Below are 22,190 nucleotides of genomic sequence, written 5' to 3'. Positions count from 1 at the left end.
CTCCCTCACTCAACCTTGTGGGCCTCTGCGCATTCTCCCAACATCACCGAGCACTCCTCACCCCAAAGGTCCACTGCTGGGATCCTCCTGACCCGTGGCATTTCATGAGCCGTGGCGGGTCTGATGAGCGAGTCTCTGACATATCTAGACAAAGGAGACTATTTAAAACCAATTCATGCTCTTCATTATAGATCCAGATCTAGAGAAGAAAAATAAAATAAAATTTAGATAACGAATTTTAAGACTGAACAACACTTTGCATATTCTTCCACATATTGATTCTGTAAGGTCTCAAAGCAGAAACAGACCAATGCACTAGACTTACAGGGAAGCAGATTTCAACTTGGTTCATTCCACTTCAGATAGCTAAGGCAGGAGAAAGTGAGGTGCTATTCTGGGAAGAAACCTAAGCAGTGGCTGAATTTTGTTCATTGAATTTGACTGAATTAACTCTTTTCCAATTTTAGGGTTTAACAATTACATAACTCTCTTAATTCCTGGACTGTGTAGGTGACAGAGGAGCCCGACAGCCTCTGGCTGACCCTCTGGAGACAGAAGGGCACACGGCTGCCATTTTCGTCGATGCCTCATCGGGGCAGTCAGGAAGTGCACAGGCTGAATCACAGATTATCTTCAGGAACACAACTGGGTGACATGGCAAGTGCAGTGAACAACTCACTCTCCAACATGCGCCATCACTATGCTCAAAAGGAACCTATTCTCTTCTGTTCTATTTACTCATTGCTTCAACTCATAGAACCCAAATGGATGTGTGCAGTGTTCACTAATATGAAGACCCTGAATCAGAGTCATAGGGAGCTGTGAGAGAATTTTCTGCAACACTGTTATTGTCTCATAGCCTGTGTCCAATAAGGGAGCTACTGGCCACATGCAGCTATTGTACACTTGAAATGTGACTAGTGGCTACAGAATTAGCACAACTATGCATATAAGCATAACTAAGCAATAAGCATAACTAAGTTAGCCTTAGAATAGGATAACTCCATCACCCCAACTTATATTTTCTGGAACAAATTTCAGCTCTCATCTCACTGTGACCTACACCACTGAAACTGCGTCACCGCGATTTTAATACTTCCACAACACTGCCACCTCTTCTACCCAGAAGATGCACAGAAATCCCTTCTTTTTTTTGAGACAGAGTCTTACTCTGTCACTAGGCTGGAGTGCAGTGGTACAATCTTTGCTTACTGCAACCTCAGCCTCCCAGGTTGAACCAATTCCCCTGCCTCAGCCTCCTGAGTAGCTGGGATTACAGGCACGCACCACCACACCCAGCTAATTTTTTTTGTATTTTTAGTAGAGATGGGGTTTCATCATGTTGGTCAGGCTGGTCTTGAACTCCTGACCTTGTGATCCGCCCACCTCATCCTCCCAAAGTGCTGGGATTACAGGCATGAGCCTCTGCACTGGGCCCCAGAAATCCCTTTTAAACTACATTTTCAACACACGTATCACCTGAGACAGTGGGCGTGACCTCTTCTGGTGGAGCGCTGGATGACATCTCACAGCACACATCACAGCACACATTATTTACCCAAAAGCCCAAGTGGCTTTTTTTTTCCTTTCTGAGTGACACCAACCCACCACTAAAATAGAAATGAGACACTACAATTTATGAGATTAGACTGCTGTTCCATTATGCTATTTTATCAGACATAAACGAGTTTGAAATTACCGTTCTAAACTGAAGTTATTTGCTGATTTTTAGGCCCGTTTTAATATTATTTAGGAGACATACATAAGCTGAAATGAAATTAGGTGAATGGAATCAACTGAAATTCTGTAGTGCTTCCCTTGGCCATTTCTAACAAATTCCTATGGCTCGTAAGTCACAATTTATTCCGCATAATATTAGAAAGTACAAATAATGGTGTAAACAACTAAAATGCTCTATGACGACGAGCAGAGATAGGAAAAACATACAAAGGAGACGAAAGTAGCTGACTGAGGTGTCATCTAAGGCCACTCTCTTCCTTTTAACCCATTTATGCTGGAGGTTGCAGTTTTTTTCGGTGAAAAATCAGACCCTGGCGGTGACCTTGAGCACTAGGATATAGATAACCCCCATAAGCTTAGCGTTCCAATAACGCAACACTACACAGAAATGGGTTAAGAAAAGCCAGAATAGTAGACACTGATGTCCTCAGGAGTGACTGGCAGCAGCTTCCCTACACTGGAAGCCTCCTTGCGGACACTGGCTGTGAGCCCCGAGGTGTCACTCACCTGATTTGGGTCACTGTAGTCACAGGCCTTAAGCACCACGAGACCTCCCTTCTGACTTGGGCGGCCCTGGGCCACCAGGCATTTGTTGGTCTGGAGGTGATAGAGCTGTAAGAGAAGGCACAGCTCAGAATGTGGGAAACAATCCCAGAGACGCCTCCCAAGCCTGGAGGTGGTTCCAGGCAAAATGTGAAAGGTTATTCCGGAGGTACGAATTCCAAGGCTCATAAAAATATATGCATTTTTAATTCCTAAGTTCTAGCCTCAGAACACAGGAGCATCAAGATAGACAAAAGTTATAACTCCAAAAGTTATTAGCAGTTTTAACATGCAGACAGTGTCAGCTAGGAATTCTAGCTACATATACATGTTTACTAATCTACAGCAGATGAAAGAAATTAAAATGTCATCCCTGCCCTAAAGAACCTTCAAATGAAGTCAGGGATATAAGAACAACATGTATAAAAAAGTACACAATGAAATGCAATATGCATGCTACACTGGAGAGACACCGGTGACAACTATCACAGAACTGCGAGGGTGAGACAAACAGCAAGAAATAATAATGGTAAGCGATCAACTACATGGGCACACACTGCTCTCTCCTACTTAGAGAAAAACACCTGACACTAAACATCCTGATACTGGGTTTGTTTTTGTCTTATTATAGGGTAGAGAGAAGAGGAAGGGGGAAAGCTCTAGGCTTCCTCCTAGCCACTGAGGGAGAGTTGACACTGCTCTGGGAGAAGTGCCTTCTTCATAAAAGAAGGGACACTGGGCAACACAGACAGTACCTGCCCTTAGCTTTTAGAAGCCAACTCTAAGAGATGACTCAGGAGAAGGGGATGATTTTATGGCCGGACCCCTACAATTTAACTGTGACTATATAACTGTAATGAGTTTAAGACACAAAGACAGCTAAGGAAATGTGGTTGATCAATGTGCTTTCTGCTGAGCTCAGATGACTTCTGGGAACACCAGGCATGAAATCCATGTCCCCACTCTGACCCTCACTACCACCTCTGCTCTGTGATTTGGTTCCCAGAGCTAAGAGCAAATAGCAGATCACTGCCCCATTTCTCCACTTGTTGGCCTGGCCTCTGACACACGAAGTTGACACTTCCATGGCCTCTGTCCGGGGTGTATTCCCATATGCCTCTGCGCTCTTGGAAAGCGTCACATAACTTACCCTCACAGAAGGCAGCTATGCCGGCAAGGCAAGGATCTACACTTGAGGTCCTACACTTGCGTAGAGAAGTTCCCATAAAGAGAATATAATGAAAGGCAAGCTGAAGCCTGTCATTACACTCTGTTAAGTCCACAGTGTCACCTGTCATAGCTTATGGACACCTCAAAACTTTTCATATCAAACGCTTTTCATAAGCCACTTGGAAAAAACAGCTTTCTTACCCTTCCACGTTGAAGGACTTTGGGTCGTTTTGGCCCTCTATTGACAAAAATGGGTTGTTGGGGTTTGGCGTGGGACCCAGATATCTGCATCTCTGGGTATACATTATCCAAATACCATTTAAATGATTTACAGCCCAACTTCTTTCTCAGTTCCACACGCTCACTGATATTGCCATAGCTTTTCGTCTTCAGGTCAGGTCTTAAGGAAAAATACTGCTCCTGAATTTAAAAAAAGTAAAAATAAGAAAATCGAATTTTTTGTTAAAAATGATGATACAACTATATAGAGATTTTTTACACGATTAAGTCCATTACTAACAATGATAATAACATGTACCTTAAACTGTATCTGAGAATCAATGAAACAGGCGTATATATGAGATCAGTGGGTCTCAAACTCGTGAGTCTCAGTCATCGATGTTCTTAAAAATTACGGAAAACTCCCAGGAGGGTCTGCGTGTGTGGGCTGTGTCTGTTCATATTTATCACACAGAAATTAAAACAGAGAAACCTACAAATTATTAATTCCTTAAAATAATTAAATACTCATTACAAACACAAAATGTAGTGAGAACAGTGACACTGCTTTCTATTTTTGCAAACCTTTTTGCTGGCTGGCTGGCTTAAAACAAGCCAGCTAAATTCTCACATCTGCATTTAGCCTGTTGCAGTGTGTTGTTTTGGTTAAATATATGTATTTTTAAAATTACAACCTATATATAATTATGGGGTTAATACTACTCCAAAATTCAATAACTTTCGAAGTCTAGTTACGATGTGGAATATGAAATCATATTAAGATTTTTACACTGTTGCATTAAAATGTACTGGTCTATCGGCCAGGCGCAGTGGCTCACACTTGTAATCCCAGCACTTTGGGAGGCCAAGGCAGGCGGATCACTTAAGGTCAGGAGTTTGAGACCCGCCTGGCCAAACATGGTGAAACCGTGTCTCTACGAAAAAATACAAAAATTAGTTGGGAGTGGTGGCGCATGCTCCTTGGGGGCCGAGGCTGCAGAATCACTTGAACCTGGGAGGTGGAGGTTGCAGTGAATTGAGATCGTGCCACTGCACTACAGCCTGGGCAACAGAGTAAGACTCTGATTCAAAAAACAAAGATAAATAAAGTTAAATAATATCTCCTGGTCTGTCTTGCTCTCTGAATGGATCTTCCACCCGTTTTTGTAACAGTGTGGATTAGTCATTTGGAAAATACTACTCCACTGGATTGTACTGTTCTACCAAATATTGAAAAATTTCACTATACAATATCAAAAAATTATATATAAAACCACTGATCTCCTCAGTAAATTTTTTTTGAGATGGAGTTTCACTCTTGTTGCCCAGGCTGGAGTACAATGGCACGATCTCGGCACACCACAACCTCCACCTCCCAGGTTCAAGCGATTCTCCTGCCTCAGCCTCCTGAGTAGCTGGAACTACAGGCATGCGCCACCACACCCGGCTAATTTTGTATTTTTAGTAGAGATGGGGTTTCTCCATGTTGGTCAGGCTGGTCTCAAACTCCCGACCTCAGGTGATCCTCCTGCCTCGGCCTCGCAAAGTGCTGGGATTACAGGCATGCGCCACCGCACCCGGCCAAGTAAAATTTTTAAGTACTAGGAAGCTGTCAAGCTCCTGGCGGTAAATGTAAGTTTTTCAAAATTCTAATTTTCACTTGAGGGCTTGAATTTTGTCATTTGCAACAAATACTGTCAGTTGTTTTCATTTTCATTATTTAGTTCGTTTTACCCAAATACGAGTAACTATGGTTTGTGAGTCAGTCTTAACATATAAAAAGAGTGTTCTGGAGAGCAGCCGCTAGCTCCGCCCATAACTCAAACAACTGCACAAGTGTTTTTCCTTGAACCAAGCACCGTACTTCAGTACACAGCAGAAGTGCTTTTTGTATGAGCACGCATACTCACACAGGATACTAAAAAGGCACATTGAGATTTACTAAAATTATTATTATATCAATGATATTCGGAAATGCAGCTGGCCTTTGTCTTCTGAGTGAGTGCTGGTGAAGAATGCAGTGACTACAGTATAACTGGGTGCTGATGCCTCGATTTATGCTAAGGCACCAGCCACTTTACTCCCCTGATTTTACACACTCAGTGCAATGTCAACACGGTCAAAGAGGCAAATACTGTATTAACCTGACTATGAAAATGAGTTTAAACTGGCAGACCTCCTCAAAGAGTGGCTAGGAGTGGGACCATGTGTTGAGAACTATGGTAGCCAGTGATGATTCAGAGATGAGCATGGAATTAGACCTCAAAGTCTGGTCAAGGAGGGAGAGGGGAGATAAACAGTGCTGTAGGAGAAGCACTGTGGAGTCCCTACTGCCCCCAAACACAGTGCACCACTGTGTCCCTGTCATTCCAGCACAAGCTACATGTCTCTGTTGACATTTCCCTCACGGTGTGAAAAATTACTGTGCACTTCCTTATTCATCTTTTATCCCCCAAAACCTAACACAGAGCCTGGCATACAGGAGGTGCACAACAAATGTTTAAAAAATAGCTATACACAAATACAGCAGCAACCAGGCGTGGTGGCTCACGCCCTAACACAGAGCCTGGCATACAGGAGGTGCACAACAAATGTTTAAAAAATAGCTATACACAAATACAGCAGCAACCAGGCGTGGTGGCTCACACCTGTAATCCCAGCTACTCGGGAGGCTGAGGCTGAGGCAGGAGAATCACTCGAACCCAGGAGGTGGAGGTTGCAGTGAGCCGAGATTGCGCCGTTGCACTTCAGCCTGGGCAACAAGAGTGAAACTCTGTCTCAAAAAAAAAAAAAAAGTGGAAACAACCTAAATGTTGATCAGCTGGTGGATAAAGTAAAATGTGGTCTGTTCATACAATGGAATATTATTTGGCAATAAAAAGGAATGCAGACCCATACATGGAACGGCACGGATGAACCTGAAAACGCCATGCTCAACTGAAGAAGCCAGACAGAAAAGACCACATAGTTTATGATTCCATTTGTAGGAAATATCCAGAAAAGGCAAATTAAGTAGAGACAAGGAGTAGATTAATGGTTGCTTATTGGCTGTCTAGGGCTGAGGCAGAGAGGGAGACTTTGGGGAGATGATCGAAGGCTATGGACTTCTTTTTGCAGTGATAAAATATTCCAAAATCAATTTTTGGATTATACTTCAATAAATCATTACAAAGAAAATATATAAAGTGACCTAAGGCAGAAGAGAAAGTGGGAAGTAATTCTAAATGTGCCCTCTAACAGGGGAAGAAACGGGATTGGGTCACCACGAAGTCCAATGAGTAAAAGAAAAGGCCAGGCCTGGCACAGTGGCTCACACACGTAGTCCCAGCACTTCGGGAGGCCAAGGCAGGAGGATCTTTTGAGCCCAAGAGCTCAAGACCAGCCTGGGCAACACAGTGAGATCCCATCTCTAAAAAAACAAACAAACAAAAAAAAAAACACTTTTTAAAAAAAATTATCCAGGCATGGTAGCACATGCCTATAGTCCCAGCTACTTGGGAGGCTGAAGCAGTAGGATCACTTGAGCCCAGGAGACTGAGGCTGCAGTGAGCCGTGATCACACCACTGCACTCCTGCCTGGGTGACAAAGCAAGACCCTGTCTCAAAAAAAAAAAAAAAAAAAAAAAAAAAAAAAAAAAAAAAAAAGAAAGCCAACTTTTGCAGGCGTCACAATAGAGAGACCAGACGGAATAAAGAAACTGAAGATGGAATTTCTTCCAACATTAGCCGCATTACTTCTTATGGAGTAGACACTTACAAAATTAAAAGAGTCAGATTAGAACCAGAAAGAAGTGAAGTACTAGGTGAAGGGGGTGGGGGGAAACTAGAAAGAGTTGGCCCTAAGGTGAAGGTTAACCAAGAGAAATATGCCAGAGTGAAAAGTAAGCAACTAAAGCTATCACTAGGCCAGTCACTGCCGGCCTATCATTCATCCTTCTAAACAAGAAATTTCATCTCACCTTGTATTCATCCAACCAGACATGTGCCAGCCGCAAAGAGTTGTGTGTCATGGTGTCCTGGCCTTCGGGAGATCCATATGGTCGCCTTTTTCGGAAAATGTGTCCTACTCTAGAGCAAGGGATGATGAAGAGCTTACCGCCACACATCCAGATCTGGCCAGAAGCAAAAACAGGTGTTAACAGTTGCCTCATGTTGTTGTGAAACCAATGTATGAATTTTCAATGAAATTAATCTTTATTCAATAGGTGTTTATGAAACTTGGCAAGATATTTATCTTATTAGATACAAATATTCAAATAGAAGGAAATGAGAAGGTACACATTGTTAGAAATTGTCTGTCTTTATCATTACAAGGAACTAAATGCTAAAACAATGCTATAGTCAGCATTTACTACCATAAGTCTGAAATTGCACTTACCCAACTTTGTTGCTTTAACAGATCAAGAGACTTGATCTTAGGCACTTAAGAACAAGAAGTGCTTATTTTTATTTATTTATTTATTTATTTTCTTTTAAGAAGTGCTTATTACCTGTTCTCTCATTTTAGTTTCACAGGTACTTGCTTATACAATGCATATTCTTTTTTGGAAAACAGATTTTTTAATATAAAATATATAGAATAACTCCAGATTAAGATTCAAAAGACCTTAGCTCTGGTCTAAATTCTGTCCTTGACTATCTGAATTACTTTGGAGTTAAGTTCGTTTTTGTGGGATTAGATTGCCTTATCTAAAAAGAGACTGAACTTTTAATAATAAAATCTATTAAATAAGAAGCATAATAAAATCTATTACGCCTTTAACCCTAACATTCTAAAACTTACAGAATGAAAACCTGCTTTTTCTTTTTTTTTTTTTGTTGAGACACAGTCTCGCTCTTGTCCCCCCGGCTAGAGTGCAGTGGCGCTTGGCTCACTGCAACCTCTGCCTCCCAGGTTCAAGCGATTCTCCTGCCTCAGCCTCCCGAGTAGCAGGGATTACAGGCACCCGCCACCACGCCCAGCTAATTTTTTTGTATTTTTAGTAGAGACGGGGTTTCACCATGTTGGCCAGGCTGGTCTTGAACTCCTGACCTCAGGATCAGCCCACCTTGGCCTCCCAAAGTGCTGGGATTATAGGCGTGAGCCACCATGGACCCAGCCAAAACTTGCTTTTTAAAAATACTGTAGTCAATACATTTGCAGAAATACAGAAGGACATATGAACAAGTATCATGGTATTATCTGATAGGGATTCTGCTAACTGGACTAGGAGATGGTTGGGAGAAATACTGGGATATTTGCTTGGAAGGAGAAGTCTCAGCTCTCCCCTCGCCCTCTTTCTGCCTTTCCCAAAGACTGTCTACACCATGGTCCTCTGAGCCACAGACTCCACCTATGCTGTCACCTTTCAAACCTTAGCAATTGGAGAAGACAGATAATGCGAGGTGGATTTCCTCCTCGGGACAGGGGTGCCTGTATACACAAAGGACTTGGTAAGCTATACATGGGGTGATGGTATAATGCAGCATCAAACTGAGCTGTTTCTGAAAGTACAATGGGAAGCTATTTATTTTTCCAAGAGAACAGGTATGAACTAGGATGGTCTTAGGCCTCAGGGAAATCTGGTCACCCTGACTATATGACTATATGTATCTGGTAGTATCAATAAAATAAACCAACAAAAAAAGAACAAACCTTTAAATTAGCACATTAAGACATTTTAAATTTATATCCAACCATTCATTACAACAATACTTTTATAATTTAAAAAAATATATATATATATATACACACACACACAGAGTGGAATAACAGATACTGGAGACTCTAAAAGATGGGAGAGGAGTGAGGGATGAAGTACTACCTGTTGGGTACAATGTGCATTACTCTGGTGATGAGTGCACTAAAAGCCAGACTTTACCACCACACACTATGCACTTGTACCTCTAAATCCATAAAAACAGACTAGGCACAGTGGCTCACGCCTGTAATCCTAACACCTTGGGAAGCTAAGGCAGGAGGATTGCTTGAGTCCAGGAGTTCAAGACCAGCCTGGGCAACATAGTGAGACTCGCATCTCTACAAAAAGTAGAAAATTAGCCAGGTGTGGCGGCATGCGCCTGTACTCCCAGCTACTTAGGAGGCTGAGAGGTGGGAGGATCGCTTGAGCCCAGGAGTTCAAGGCTGCAGTGAGCCACTGTATTCATCCCACTCTACTCCAACCTGGGCAGCGGAGCAAGACCCTGTCTCAAAAAAATAAATACCAATAAATACATGGCTTCTTACATGCTTTTTCATTTTGTTGTTGTTTTCCTAGCCAATGGATCAACATGTATACTCTTGACATTTCGAACAGATATTATCCATATCACAGATTCTGACAAAGTAGCATTCATTAAGGACAATTTGTCAATAAAGATAGTCATGGAGCACTCTGGGAGGCCGAGGCAGGAGGATCACTTGAGCCCAAGAGTTCGACACCAGCCTGGGCAACATAGTGAGACGCCCATCTCTACAAAAAATAGAAAAATTACAGGCACATGCCTGTAGTCCCAGCTAATCAGGAGGCTGAGGCAAGAGGATCGCTTGAGCTCAGGAGGTCAAGGCTGCAGTGAGCCATGACCACGCCACTGCACTCCAACCTGGGCAGCAGAGAAAGACCCTATCTCGAAAAAAAAATAATCAAGGAGAATATAAAGAAAATATGAGATCATGGATGAAAATCATATTCCACTACACAGTTATTAATTGAGCATGCAAAAATTAAATTACCCGAAATGATATTTCCAAATTTTCTCCTCCCCAGATATCCATGCCACTATCATACTGTCCAAGTTCATGGAAATACTGTCTGTTCATGGCAAACAAACCTCCAGCCATTGTTGGTGACCTAGAAAAAGGAAAATTACTGTACTCATTCCTTATAGTCAGTTATCTTACCTACTACTTTTGTTTAAAATACTCAGTGTCATTTTGGAACATAACTAATAAAAATTGAATTAATGATTATGAATCATTTTATCCAGTATCAGAGAATGAGCCAGGCCATACAACTGAATTTTCTAGATTGCTAATAATATGCTAGTATCTGGCATACGAAGGCTACTTTTCTAAGTCTCGAAAGTTCTTTTCCTATTATAACCATTTCTGATGGAAAGCCACCTGATATGGTCATTCCTTCTGACAATCTCACAGAGCCTTGGGGATCAAAACTGGGCTCTAAGGTCCACCAAGGAGAGACCTGACAAACATCACACGTTGGGAGTTGGACTCACACAAGTTAGACCAGTGGCTCTCAACTGGGATGACTGTGTCCCCAACAGACATTTCATAATGTTGGGAGCATTTTTAGCTGTCACATCTTGATGTGTTTGTGTGGCAGGGTGCTCCTAGAATCTGGGTTGAGGTCTGGGATTCTGCTACCTATCCTAAAATGCACAAGAGGGCCCCTACAACAAAGAATTATCTGGCCCAAAATGTCAGTAGTGCCAAGGCTGAGAAGCCCTGTGCTGGAGTGAGAAAAGCCACAGACTAGTCCTCTCAGGGACTCGAGCTAGCTTCCAGTCCGCTCACTTCCTAAAACTGGATAGAGGGGATTGTGGATTCTAGTGGCCCAAGCTGCCTGCACAAGAGAAGCAAAATTATCTCTGCAGGGAAAAAACATCATCCCAGGTATGAATGTATTTCTATAATTTTTCATATATCATGTCTGGCACTAAGCAAAAATAAATAAGCAACAAATAAATAACCAGGCAAATGGGAAGATAAAATCACATGAAAACAAAATGAGAGAAACAACATACACCAGAAACAGATATGAAGGGGTTTCAAATATGGAATTATCAAGCAAAGACTTTAACTGCTCAGTATATTCAACAAAAAAGACAAGGCAGAATTCGGCAGCAAATTAGTTACTTCAAAAAAGTAACCATGTTTATACATATCCAAAAGACACTTTTTAAAAACAAGACCAAAAAAAATGTAAGCAGCCAATGAAAAAGAGATTATCTTAAGGGAAGCAAAGTAAGACTAACAACGCTGACTTCCTGTCTGAAACGGTGAATGCCAGAAGGTTCTTGAATGATGCCTTCAAAGGCTGAAAGAACATATATGTCTGCTATTGCCAACCTAGAACTGGATACTGAGTAAACATGTTCTTCAAAACAATGGTGAAACATAAGGACATTTTCGGAAAAACAGAGGACTGATCACTAGGATGTCCAACTAAAAGAACGACTAAGAGTGTGGGAGCAATCCCGGATAGAGCCTACAGCTGCAGAAAGAACAGGGTAACATAAAGCGGAGATACTTGGGCAAGCCTGTGTGAATACTGCTACGTAAGAAATGGCTTCTGGGGTTTAAATTATATAACAATATACAATATTGTTGTATATAACAACAAATAAGCAACGATAACAACATAATAACAATAACAAATAAATTGGGGGAGGAATAACTGAAACGTGAACCTTCTGAGATCCTGGCATTGTTTGGAGAAAGTACCAATTTTGATTACACTCTGGCAAATCAAGAACAAATGTATTCTTTAAAAAGTTAAAATACAGGTACACCTCTTTGAATTCAATCTACGTAAGAAATTTTTAAAGAAAACAAAAATAAGAGCAGCTTTATATTACAGAAGATGAAACACAGATAAGAACGTAAAATAATTCCTATACTATGACTTAGTAATTATACTAGCAGGAATCCATCTTCAAAATCCTAATGAAAGAAAAGGCTTACGTATTAATGTTTTTCACAACATCACTCCGGCTACCAAAGAACTGAAGGTAAGTTAGTGAACTATAAATACACCGCAGTGTTTGACATACCAAACAGCAACCACCACACGGGGCCCTCCCAGGGCTTCCTCTGCAATGGTGGCCTGGTCTGTCTGCTCTTCTCACAGGCTCTAAGTCCTTGAGGGCACACATACTGTCTTACTCATAAATCTTTCCTTAGGACTTGGCAGACTGCATAAAATTCAATACGTACTCAAGAATTTTTAACGTACAAATTAAGTCTAACACTTTTGCTCCTTACAAAGAAGGAGGAATTATCTTTAATATCATTTTGTTCTCTTTTAAGGAAGCACTGGTAGGAATTTGTCAAACAAAGGAGCGATCTTACTTTATTGGTGCAGTGGCTCCCTCCGCTCGTCCTAGCTCAGAAAGGGGGACAAGATCCCATTTGAAGTGCAGTCCCCAGTTGAACCCTCCGCGGACGACAGGGGACGAGCTGTAGGCCAGCGTGTCGGCGCTGATGATGTCAATCACTGGGCACACCACGGTGTGCCGGTCCTCACGGATGGCGGCCAGCAAGGGCTGCAGCCACATCACATTCACTTCACAGTGGCTGTCCAGGAACACAAGGACTTCTCCTGGGGAGGAAACAACAGAGGCTCAGGAGAGTGTCACAACACTCAATTTAGGTACAACCACCCGTCCAATGGGATGACGCGCTGACACAGCATGAAACACGACTGCCACCCTCCCAGCCCCAGACGGCCTAACTGCTCCACTACACTTCACTGCCGGTGGTCAACAAGGACGTCCCTCAGCCAGTAATGCTGCGTGCAGTGTCCTGCTGTGATTGAGGGACCCATACAAATCATACGCGCGACTCTTGAAAAAACTGACAGGCAATTCAGAATCTCTTCAGTAAACAGAGTCAAAGTCTCACCGTAACAACTCAACTCTTTGGAAGCCCAGATATTGAGTATTCCAAGATGTTTTGGTGCCATGACGGTGGCCAGTTGTATGTAGGTATTTTTATTACAATTATTTTAATCAAAATATTTTGAAGTTTGGCACACACTTAGAAGACATCTCTCTGCCTCAGTAAACAGAGTACAGAGAACACAGCTGCCTTCTCACTGGTGACTAGGACATGCACTGTAACTATGGATGATGGCTGCCACACAGCAGTTCTCCCCGGAGAGAGGGAGGCGCAGCTGGTGGCGCTCTCGGGGACGCCTCTTGCTCATTTCTGTTTCTTCCATCTCCCACCTTTCCTTTCTACTGCCCCCCACCCTCTTAGCTTCAGTGGCTCTCACCTGCCAATGGGATACACCTTTCTTCTAGTTAGCAACATATAAATCATCGACATTTTATTCTGCATTTTAAGCTCCTCTTGATAAATGTGAGCAGAACTGAGGTTTTTTTTTTTTTTATAATTTCAAATTTAAGAGCTCCACGGTTCTTCTGAGCAGTTGAGAAACTCAGAATGACATCATCAGGTCACATTATTGTTTTTCTAAAAGTGCACTCGTGAAATGTATGAAGATTTTACATGAACTACTTAAAGCACCAAATGTTATCTATCCAACTTCAACTAGTGATAAAAGCAGTATCTCAGACAGTTTTCAATGATGCCCGTGAATCAGTCCCACAGCTCAGTGTCTGTAAACAGCCTGAAGGGTGGGGGATGTAGGCAGCTCTCCGCTGTCACTTAATGCAGAAAGGCAGAACCTTCCACATGCACATCAGTGGGGGTGAGGTGAGACCAATCACAATTGCTTCGAGGAGAAAATGGATTCAGAGCTTTTCTTAATTCTAAAAGTGTTACTTTTTCCAATTAACACCAATTTAAAGGAAGACCACATCTGGTCACAGTGAACCTGAAACAATGACTTCCATGCAAACTGGCTTGCTTCGGACAGATCCTAAACTATATCTCAATGAGGACCTGAAGAGATCATAAGGGAAAAAAACCTAAATAGCTATTGCTATCTAAAAAAAAGTCAGTTCACAGTAAACTTGCATTGTAACAGTACAATGTTTTGAGTGGCTTAATATTGAAAATACCCCAGGATTTTCACTTTATTGCTTTGCCTTAAATAACTCCACACAGCCAATTCAGTAAGTTTTTACATGACTAGAAACCTAGAAAAAAAGTCTCACAAGCCTTGAATTCAGTCTGCATCCACTGCAGATAGGATGTAGAGGAGCTGCTTCTCTTTTTTTTTTGTTAATTGCTTCAGGTCACTGTGGGCTTCAGAGAAATAAGAGAAGACAGATACTAAAAGTGAAGTTCCAACTCAGCCCAGCACACGAGCCAGTGGCTCCACAGGGGGAGTGGTGGTGAGCAGTGCCGACCACCACAAACCCAGAGGCAGGTTATCTAGGAGAGCGTGGAATATAGGAAGGACTGCAGTAGATGCTGTCACTGCTAGGGAATATCCCCACCAAGTTCCATCATTCTCAAATGATTTTCAAAATTTTTTCGCCATGTCCATGCCCTACCTGCAATATCACATGCCTAACATTTTTAAACAGATTCATTAGTTTTAATTACATTTATTTAAAAATGTTTTAATTACAGTCATAAATGAAACTCAGGGAGACCAATTACACATAGGTAACCATAAAACGAAATACAACAGAATCAATATAACGTAACTGAAGACTAACCAGATATATTTTCTGCAGAAGACTGAATTTGAGATCGGTTATTTCTTTTTAAAGGGGGAGAGCAGTGTATGATGGAAATATACTAGTAACAACGGAGACTTGCTCCTTGATGGAATCAGAAGGATTAAGAGGGAATTTTAAAGAAAATGCCATTTATAGTTTTGTAAGTCAATCTTACGTCCATTAACCAATTAAAGTCATGATGTGTGGCTCCAGAGGGATGCACTCCGCACTAAGAGTTAAAAGCATAGTTCCAATCGACAGTTTGGGTTCATACATTTTAAATTTTGTATTTAAAAACATAAAAATTCAGTTACATTTTGGTCTGGGCTTTTCTGCTTATATAAGTGAATAAGATATAAAATATATTTGAGGGGCAGTAAGTATCAAAGAAGGGTTGCTATGAAAATAGACACTGAGGATTTGAGAGTTCAGCCCCCTGCACTATGTGCTTTGGGATGGCAGGCTTGGCGTTATGAACAGGTCTTTCCCAAACAGAACAAGCCTCATCTCTCCTGCTGGCAATGTCCGTTTGAAACACTACTCTTCATAGACTTTGCAGAATCAGGACAGGCGCTGAGGCTCGAGCCCTTGTCATCCAACACCTGTAGAGCAAAGCTAACGAGAAGTGATACCTGTCGCGTGGGCCGCGCCAATCATTCTCCCTCGAATCAACCCCTCACGCTTTGTATTTCTTATGACTTTAATTTTTCCAGGGAGGTATTTTTGGACATATTCATCTAGTTCTCCTTTCAAATCATCTGAAAATAAAGTCCCACAATTATTCAAACTGTATGAGACATATATAAAGACACTTTACAGCTATTCTAAAGTTGTATCTAGTACTTGCTAAAATTTACAACAAACTATCAAGCAAATACTACAGAATATTTTACTTTAAAAGAGTATTGTAGCTTATCCTGTAGGAAGAAAAAGAAATGAAGGGTAAGAGCTGGAATACTAGCAAAGAGGAATACTTACTTTAGTTACAGACTTATTTGTATCTCCATAGCATCGAGCACAATGCTTTGCACAAAGAATGTTTGAAATGAGTATTTTGAGTGCATAAATGTTCAGCTGACCATATATAAATCACATTGATAACAAAGAAAATGAGATATAAATGCCTTTTATTACAAAGGAATTTATTAAGTCTTAGTCCATTTCAAAATAGTTAAGAAACAACTTCTATTGCCCCTACCAAGAATAACAAGAACAGCATTGAATATGTCCTTTTATTAATTTAGCATCTTTCTTCCAAGGTTGCTAAATATTTTTTAAGGAATTCTATGTCATTCACCTGTATATTTCAGAATAACTTGAAAGATCGTGTAAGATAATAAGCAGTAATTCTTTCCATAGTTAATATACAAACCACCTCAAATTATGAATTTTTCCTTTTAGGTAAAATAGCCACAAAGTGAAAACCAAAATACAAGTTGACTTAAAAAAAAACAAAAACCAACCATAAATTCTAGAAATCAGTATGTAACCAATCTTCTACGTGGTCCAGACTCAGATTTATTTATTAGGTTTTTTGTTTGTTTGTTTTTGGCCAAGGTTTGAGAATTTTGCTCCCATGACTCTCTCCATTTCTTTACCTTCTATATTTAAGTATACTGGTATACCAACTCTGATGTTGATACAAGTGGTACTTAATAAACGCTCGAGTGCATGAAAAAGTCACTGGCATACACCTGTACCACTGTGTTCCTGCAGCCTGCTGTCATGAAAAGAGCAGAAGGCTTGGAGCTATGCAGACCAGAGGTCTCATTTCCACTCTACTACTTAACAGCTATGGGGTCTGAGCAAATTACTTTTTATATTTCTCCCTCTATAAAATGGGCTTCCAGCCTTTCTTGCAAGGTCACTGAGAGCTGAATGAGCAGTGTAATAAAAAGCCTTCTATCCTGTTTGGGTACACAAAGCCATTCTTAGCAAGAGTCTATGTTGAATTAAGAAAGGCGTACAGAATATAGAATATGTAGTGAATCATAAAATACTGGCATTCAGAGATCATTGAGGAGCTATCAGAATGCAATCCACTTTTATCTGGGGACGATCAGTGTAAGAGACTTAATAGAGAAGCATAAGCCAAGGCATCATGCCAAATGAAAAAAGCCCATCTCAAAAGGTCACATACCGTGTGATTCCATTTATATGACATTCTTGAAATAACAAAATCAGAGATGGAAACAAAATCATAGAGTCGTGGTTTCAGGGACTGGGGAAGAGTAGAGGAAAGCAGGAGGTGTGACTAGAAAGAGGCAGCACAAGGGCCCTCCGGGTGAGGAAACAGTTCTGTATCATTGCAGTGAGGGTTGTGGGAGTCCACCTGTGTGACAGAATGACCCTGGACCACACACACTGTACCAATGTGGATTCCTGGTTCTGACAGGGGAATTTTATGATGGAGCAACTGGATAAAGGTACATAGGCCGTCTTTGTAACTTCCTGTGAACCTACAGTTATTTCAAATAAAAAGAGGTGTGTTTTTTAAAGTAAGCCACGGAAAAAATTTCACGGCCCAAATTTGGGTAGCATAGTTTATAAGCAGGTTACAAAGATAATGGATTTCTTCAGACTTATTTGTGGTCAGCCCAGCTGTGACTGCACGTGTAGGATCCCCACCTACCACGTACTTGAAAGTTCAGCTGTGTTAGTGTTTGTCAGTGCTGTAGTGACTGACAGCCTGGATCCAATGTTACCAGGTGCAGCATTCCTTACCAAAGTCACTATCATCATCCACAAGGATGATCTCATGAAGCAGGTGTGCTGGCGTGCGGTCTATGACACTGTGCACTGTCCGAAGCAAGGCAGAAAACGCTTCATTATAGAAACAGATAACAACACTAGCAGCTGGCAGGTCAGGTGGGTAGAACTTTTCTTTACATCTGTAAAGATAAAGATGAGGAAATTCTGACATTTTAAAAGGCTCGAATGGTTTAGATTATTATTCACCTACAGATTTACTGTCCCCTTGTTCACCCTCTTCCCCCACCCCCTGCCTTTTTTTTTTTTTTTGAGACGGAGTCTCGCTCTTGTTGCCCAGGCTGGAGTGCAGTGGCGCTATCTCGGCTCATCGTGACCTCCGCCTCCCAGGTTCAAGCGATTCTCCTGCCTCAGCCTCCCGAGGAGCTGGGATTACAGGCATGCGACACCACATCCGGCTAATTCTGCATTTTTAGTAGAGACAGGGTTTCTCCATGTTGGTCAAGCTGGTCTCGAACTCCTGACCTCAGGTGATCTGCCCACCCCAGCCTCCCAAAGTGCTGGGACTACAGGCGTGAACCACCACGTCCAGCCTGTTCAGCCTCTTTCTAACATTATGGTAACAACAATTTTTTTTAAAAGCATTTACAAAAACAATACGGTTTCTTCTTCAAGAGTTTTACATTTTGCTAATAATGTCTCCCTCCTATACCTGCTATCTTGTTTACTTTTGGATAAATTTTTTCTTTTTTTGAGACGGTGTCTTGCTCTGTCACTAGGCTGGAGTGCTGTGGCGCGATCTCGGCTCACTGCAACCTCCGACTCCCTGGTTCAAGCGATTCTCCTGCCTCAACCTCCTGAGTAGCTGGGATTACAGGCCTGCGCCACCACGCCCAGGTAATTTTTGTATTTTTAGTAGAGACAGAGTTTCACCACATTGGCCAGGATGGTCTCGATCTCCTGACCTCGTGATCCACCCACCGCGCCCTCCCAAAGTGCTGGGATTACAGGTGTGAGCCACCATGTCCAGCCGAATAAAGACTTTTTAAACTTCAGGGTTTTTTTTCTTTTTTGGAAGAGAGGGTACATAAAAATGTGAGTTCTTTTTACCAAAATCACTGCAAGTGTTTCATGCAGCACTCATGAGCTGATGTCCAGCTTCTCCTCAATGAGGTTTCAAAAGGAAACAAATATAAGACTTTATATTTGAAATTTTATTTTTTTGCCCAATAATAAAAAAGATTTGAATAAATTATGATATACCAAGATAACAGAAGAGCTTCCATGTATCAAATCATTCCAAGCAACTATTTGGGAAAAAAAGGGTTAGGAGCTTTAAGCAACATCAAAAAGCCATGAACTGGCCAGGCGCAGTGGCTCACGCCTGTAATCCCTGCACTTTGGGAGGCCAAGGTGGGCAGATCACGAGGTCAGGAGTTTGAGACCAGCCTGGCCAACATGGTGAAACCCTATCTCTACTAAAACTATAAAAATTAACCAGGCGTGGTGGTGCACGCCTGTAGTCCTAGCTACTCAGGAGGCCGAGGCAGGAGAATCACTTGAACTTGGGAGGTGGAGGTTATAGTGAGCCGACATCATGCCACCACACTCCAGCCTGGGCAACAGAGAAAGACTCCATCCCCCCCCCCCCAAAAAAAAGCCATGAACTTAGAGAACACATTGAGAACCCTGAATTCTTTCCCAGGGCACACACAGCCCTCCAGCATCTGAGCCCTGCCTCCCTCCAGCCTTGTCACCTCTCTGCAGGGACCACTCCAGTACTATGCCCCCATTTCCCCAAACCCTGTCACAGCCCTTACTCATGTAAGGACTTGTTGACTTATTTGCCTCCCCTGCTAGACTCTAGCCCTGAGAACTGAGGAACTACTACATCTGTTTGTTTCTTCCAGGGCTCAAGACGGCGTGTAGCAAACAGAAGGTGCTCAACAAATGTCTGTCTGTGGAATGACTGACCACATGCACGAAAAGCCTTTGATGGAAAAAAAACAATGAAAGAGAAAAGTGAAATGAGAGTAAAATTCTTCACTGATGTTAATTCCTATTTGCCATGAATCCAATCAATAAACATTTAGAACAAACTTATACTCAGGTTATTTAATTAGCACCCTACTCTGCTTCCCCAGGTGATCTGAAATGTTAAAGGAGACACAGCAAGCTCCAGGACTCTGTTGGTACATCTCAGACCATGTGGCTTCACATATAATACAAGTGGAAATCTGTCTCAAGTTTCCTAGTATGCTGAATAAAGACGCTGCATTGGGAAATATGAACCCCGTCCTCGTGACCTCTTACACTGACACTAAAAGCATCGTGTTGTTAAAATGTATTTGCAAATCCGATAAGGCACATACGCTGCATTCCTTGTGTCTGGCACATCTCTGTGGTAGCCCAAGCGGTCACTGATAAGCATATTAAAAGCATGTTTCTGATAGCCCAAGTCTCTCAACTCTTGATCGCGTTCATTAAAAATCATACCTGCAAAAGAGTGAAGTTAGTCAGCGAATTAAATCTAGAAAGTATCATGTTACTGTTAACGATATTATGATCTTAAGAAAATGCTGACTTTATCCTATTATAATCTAATATCTCTTTTCTCAAACTTAGGTTGTCTCTAGGTTGAAGTCAAATTCTTATCAGTCTAGGTCAAAGCAAGGTGTCTTAACCATAAACACCACCTGCTCACAAGCCATAATTTTTTTTTTTTTTTTGAGATGGAGTTTCCCTCTGTCGTCAGGCTGGAGTGCAGTGGCACGATCTTGGCTCACTGCAACCTCCAACTCCCTGGTTCAAGCGATTCTCCTGCCTCAGCCTCCCGAGTAGCTGGGATTACAGGCAAATGCCACCACGCCCAGCTAATTTTTGTATTTTTAGTTGAGACGGGGTTTCACCATATTGGCCAGGATGGTCTCGATCTCCTGACCTCGTGATCTGCCCACCTCGGCCTCCCAAAGTGCTGGGATTACAGGCGTGAGACACCACGCCCGGCCACAAACCATAATCTTAAGAATAGTTTATTATATTCAAAAGAAAAATTTACCTGCAACCAGGAAAAAAATTTTTATAATTTTCCATTAAAGCAATAGATTTTAGAACCCCAGTGGCCCTTGACAGGCCTCAATTACATGCGAGTTTTTACAGGAGTCCCTCCCCAGAAAAAGGCGACTGATAAGCTTTTCCATAAAAAGAGCTTCCCGGGTCAGACGCAATGGCTCACGCCTGTGATCCCAGCACTTTGGGAGGCCAAGGCAGGAGGACTGCTTGAGCCCAGCCTGGGCAACACAGCGAGACCTTGTCTCTACTACAAAAAAAAAAAAAAAAAAAAAAATTAGCCAGGTGTGGTGGCTCAGTGGCTCACACCTGTAGTCTCCATGACTTGGCTACTCAGGAGGCTGAGGCAGGAAGACTGCTTGAGCCCAGGACATCAAGGTTGCAGTGAGCCACAGTTGTGCCACTGCACTCCAGCCTGGGTGACAGAGTGAGATCCTGTCTTTTCAAAAAAAAAAAAAAAAAAAAAAAGCTTCACAGTTTCTGGTTTAACTGTCAGGGAATTCCTCCACAGGCCTAATCAAAGTCACTGTAATATTAGGCAGGGCGCGGCTGCTTATGCCTGTAATCCCAGCACTATGGGAAGTGGAGGCGGGCAGATTGCTTGAGGTCAGGAGTTCAAGATCAGCCTGGCCAACACGGTGAAACCCCATCTCTACTAAAAATACAAAAAAAAAAAAAAAAAAAAAAAAAAAAACTAGGCGGGAGTGGTGGTGCATTCCCGTAGTCCCAGCTACTTGGGAGGCTAAGGCAGGAGAATCTCTTAAACCCGGAAGGCAGAGGTTGCAGTGAGCCAAGATCGCGCCACTGCACTCCAGCCTGCAGAGCAAGACTTTGTCTCAAAATAAATAAATAAATAAATAAATAAATAAATAAATAAATAAAAGTCCATTTTTAAAAAATAGTAGAACTCTGTTCCTTTAATACAGTGAATGTTTTATGAATATCCAGGTGTAAAGGGTTGAGATATAGAATGCAGTGTTTCCAGCCGGGCGTGGTGGCTCATGCCTGTAATCCCAGCACTTTGGGAGGCCAAGGTGGGTGGATCATGGGAGGTCAGCAGTTCAACGCCAGCCTGACCAACATGGTAAAACCCCGTATCTACTAAAAATACAAAAATAAGCCAGGCATGGTGGCACACGCCTGTAATCCCAGCTACTTGGGAGGCTGAGGCAGGAGAATCACTTGAACCTAGGAGGCGAATGCAGCAAGCCAAGATCATGCCACTGTACTCCAGCCTGGGTGACAAAAGCAAAACTCTGTCTCAAAAAAAATAGAATGCAGTGTTTCCCCAATTTATCTGAACGCAACTAGTGTCCCCATATCTACTTTGAGAAACATTATCTCTTAATATGCCTTCTCTCTGAAACTGTTTCAAATGCAGTTCA

At 42.0% G+C, this 22,190-nt stretch overlaps 1 protein-coding gene and 1 long non-coding RNA gene across 35 annotated transcripts in view, besides 1 other annotated feature; one reads left to right on the top strand and one right to left on the bottom strand.

Moving 5' to 3' along the window:
* LOC731075 (uncharacterized) overlaps positions 1-19,835 on the top strand; it is a 33,378-nt gene extending 13,543 nt beyond the window's left edge. Inside the window, exon 3 of the long non-coding RNA XR_001745432.2 lies at positions 19,647-19,835. This is a non-coding gene — a long non-coding RNA (uncharacterized LOC731075). The remainder of the gene's footprint in view (positions 1-19,646) is intronic.
* The window catches only part of GALNT11 (polypeptide N-acetylgalactosaminyltransferase 11), a 96,667-nt gene that overhangs the window by 1,311 nt on the left and 73,166 nt on the right, over positions 1-22,190 (bottom strand). For 22 of the 34 annotated variants that reach the window (NM_001371458.1, NM_001371459.1, NM_001371468.1 and 19 more), the window contains 9 exons: positions 20,109-20,232; positions 17,752-17,918; positions 15,660-15,785; positions 12,743-12,992; positions 10,385-10,502; positions 7,632-7,784; positions 3,655-3,873; positions 2,248-2,352; positions 62-199 (listed from right to left, as the gene is read on the bottom strand). In NM_001371458.1, coding sequence (NP_001358387.1) covers positions 62-199; positions 2,248-2,352; positions 3,655-3,873; positions 7,632-7,784; positions 10,385-10,502; positions 12,743-12,992; positions 15,660-15,785; positions 17,752-17,918; positions 20,109-20,232 — 1,400 coding nt within the window. Of the gene's footprint in view, positions 1-14; positions 200-2,247; positions 2,353-3,654; positions 3,874-3,991; positions 4,127-7,631; positions 7,785-10,384; positions 10,503-12,742; positions 12,993-14,894; positions 15,786-16,137; positions 17,919-20,108; positions 20,233-22,190 lie in introns of those variants that run through there. The other 12 variants (NM_001371467.1, NM_001371466.1, NM_001371465.1 and 9 more) reach the window with 8 other exon arrangements.
* Positions 12,342-13,541: an enhancer, noted in NCBI's record as "BRD4-independent group 4 enhancer chr7:151804574-151805773 (GRCh37/hg19 assembly coordinates)". NCBI's record gives its function as "activates an origin of replication core promoter dependent on BRD2, P300/CBP, MED14 and CDK7 cofactors, and independent of BRD4, by STARR-seq in HCT116 cells {active_cell/tissue: HCT116}" and the evidence as "EXISTENCE:reporter gene assay evidence [ECO:0000049][PMID:35650434]".

This window comes from Homo sapiens, chromosome 7 (genome assembly GCF_000001405.40).
Source record: "Homo sapiens chromosome 7, GRCh38.p14 Primary Assembly".
Classification (NCBI taxonomy): Eukaryota; Metazoa; Chordata; class Mammalia; order Primates; family Hominidae; genus Homo; species Homo sapiens.
This window is presented reverse-complemented; position numbering and strand designations above follow the sequence as displayed.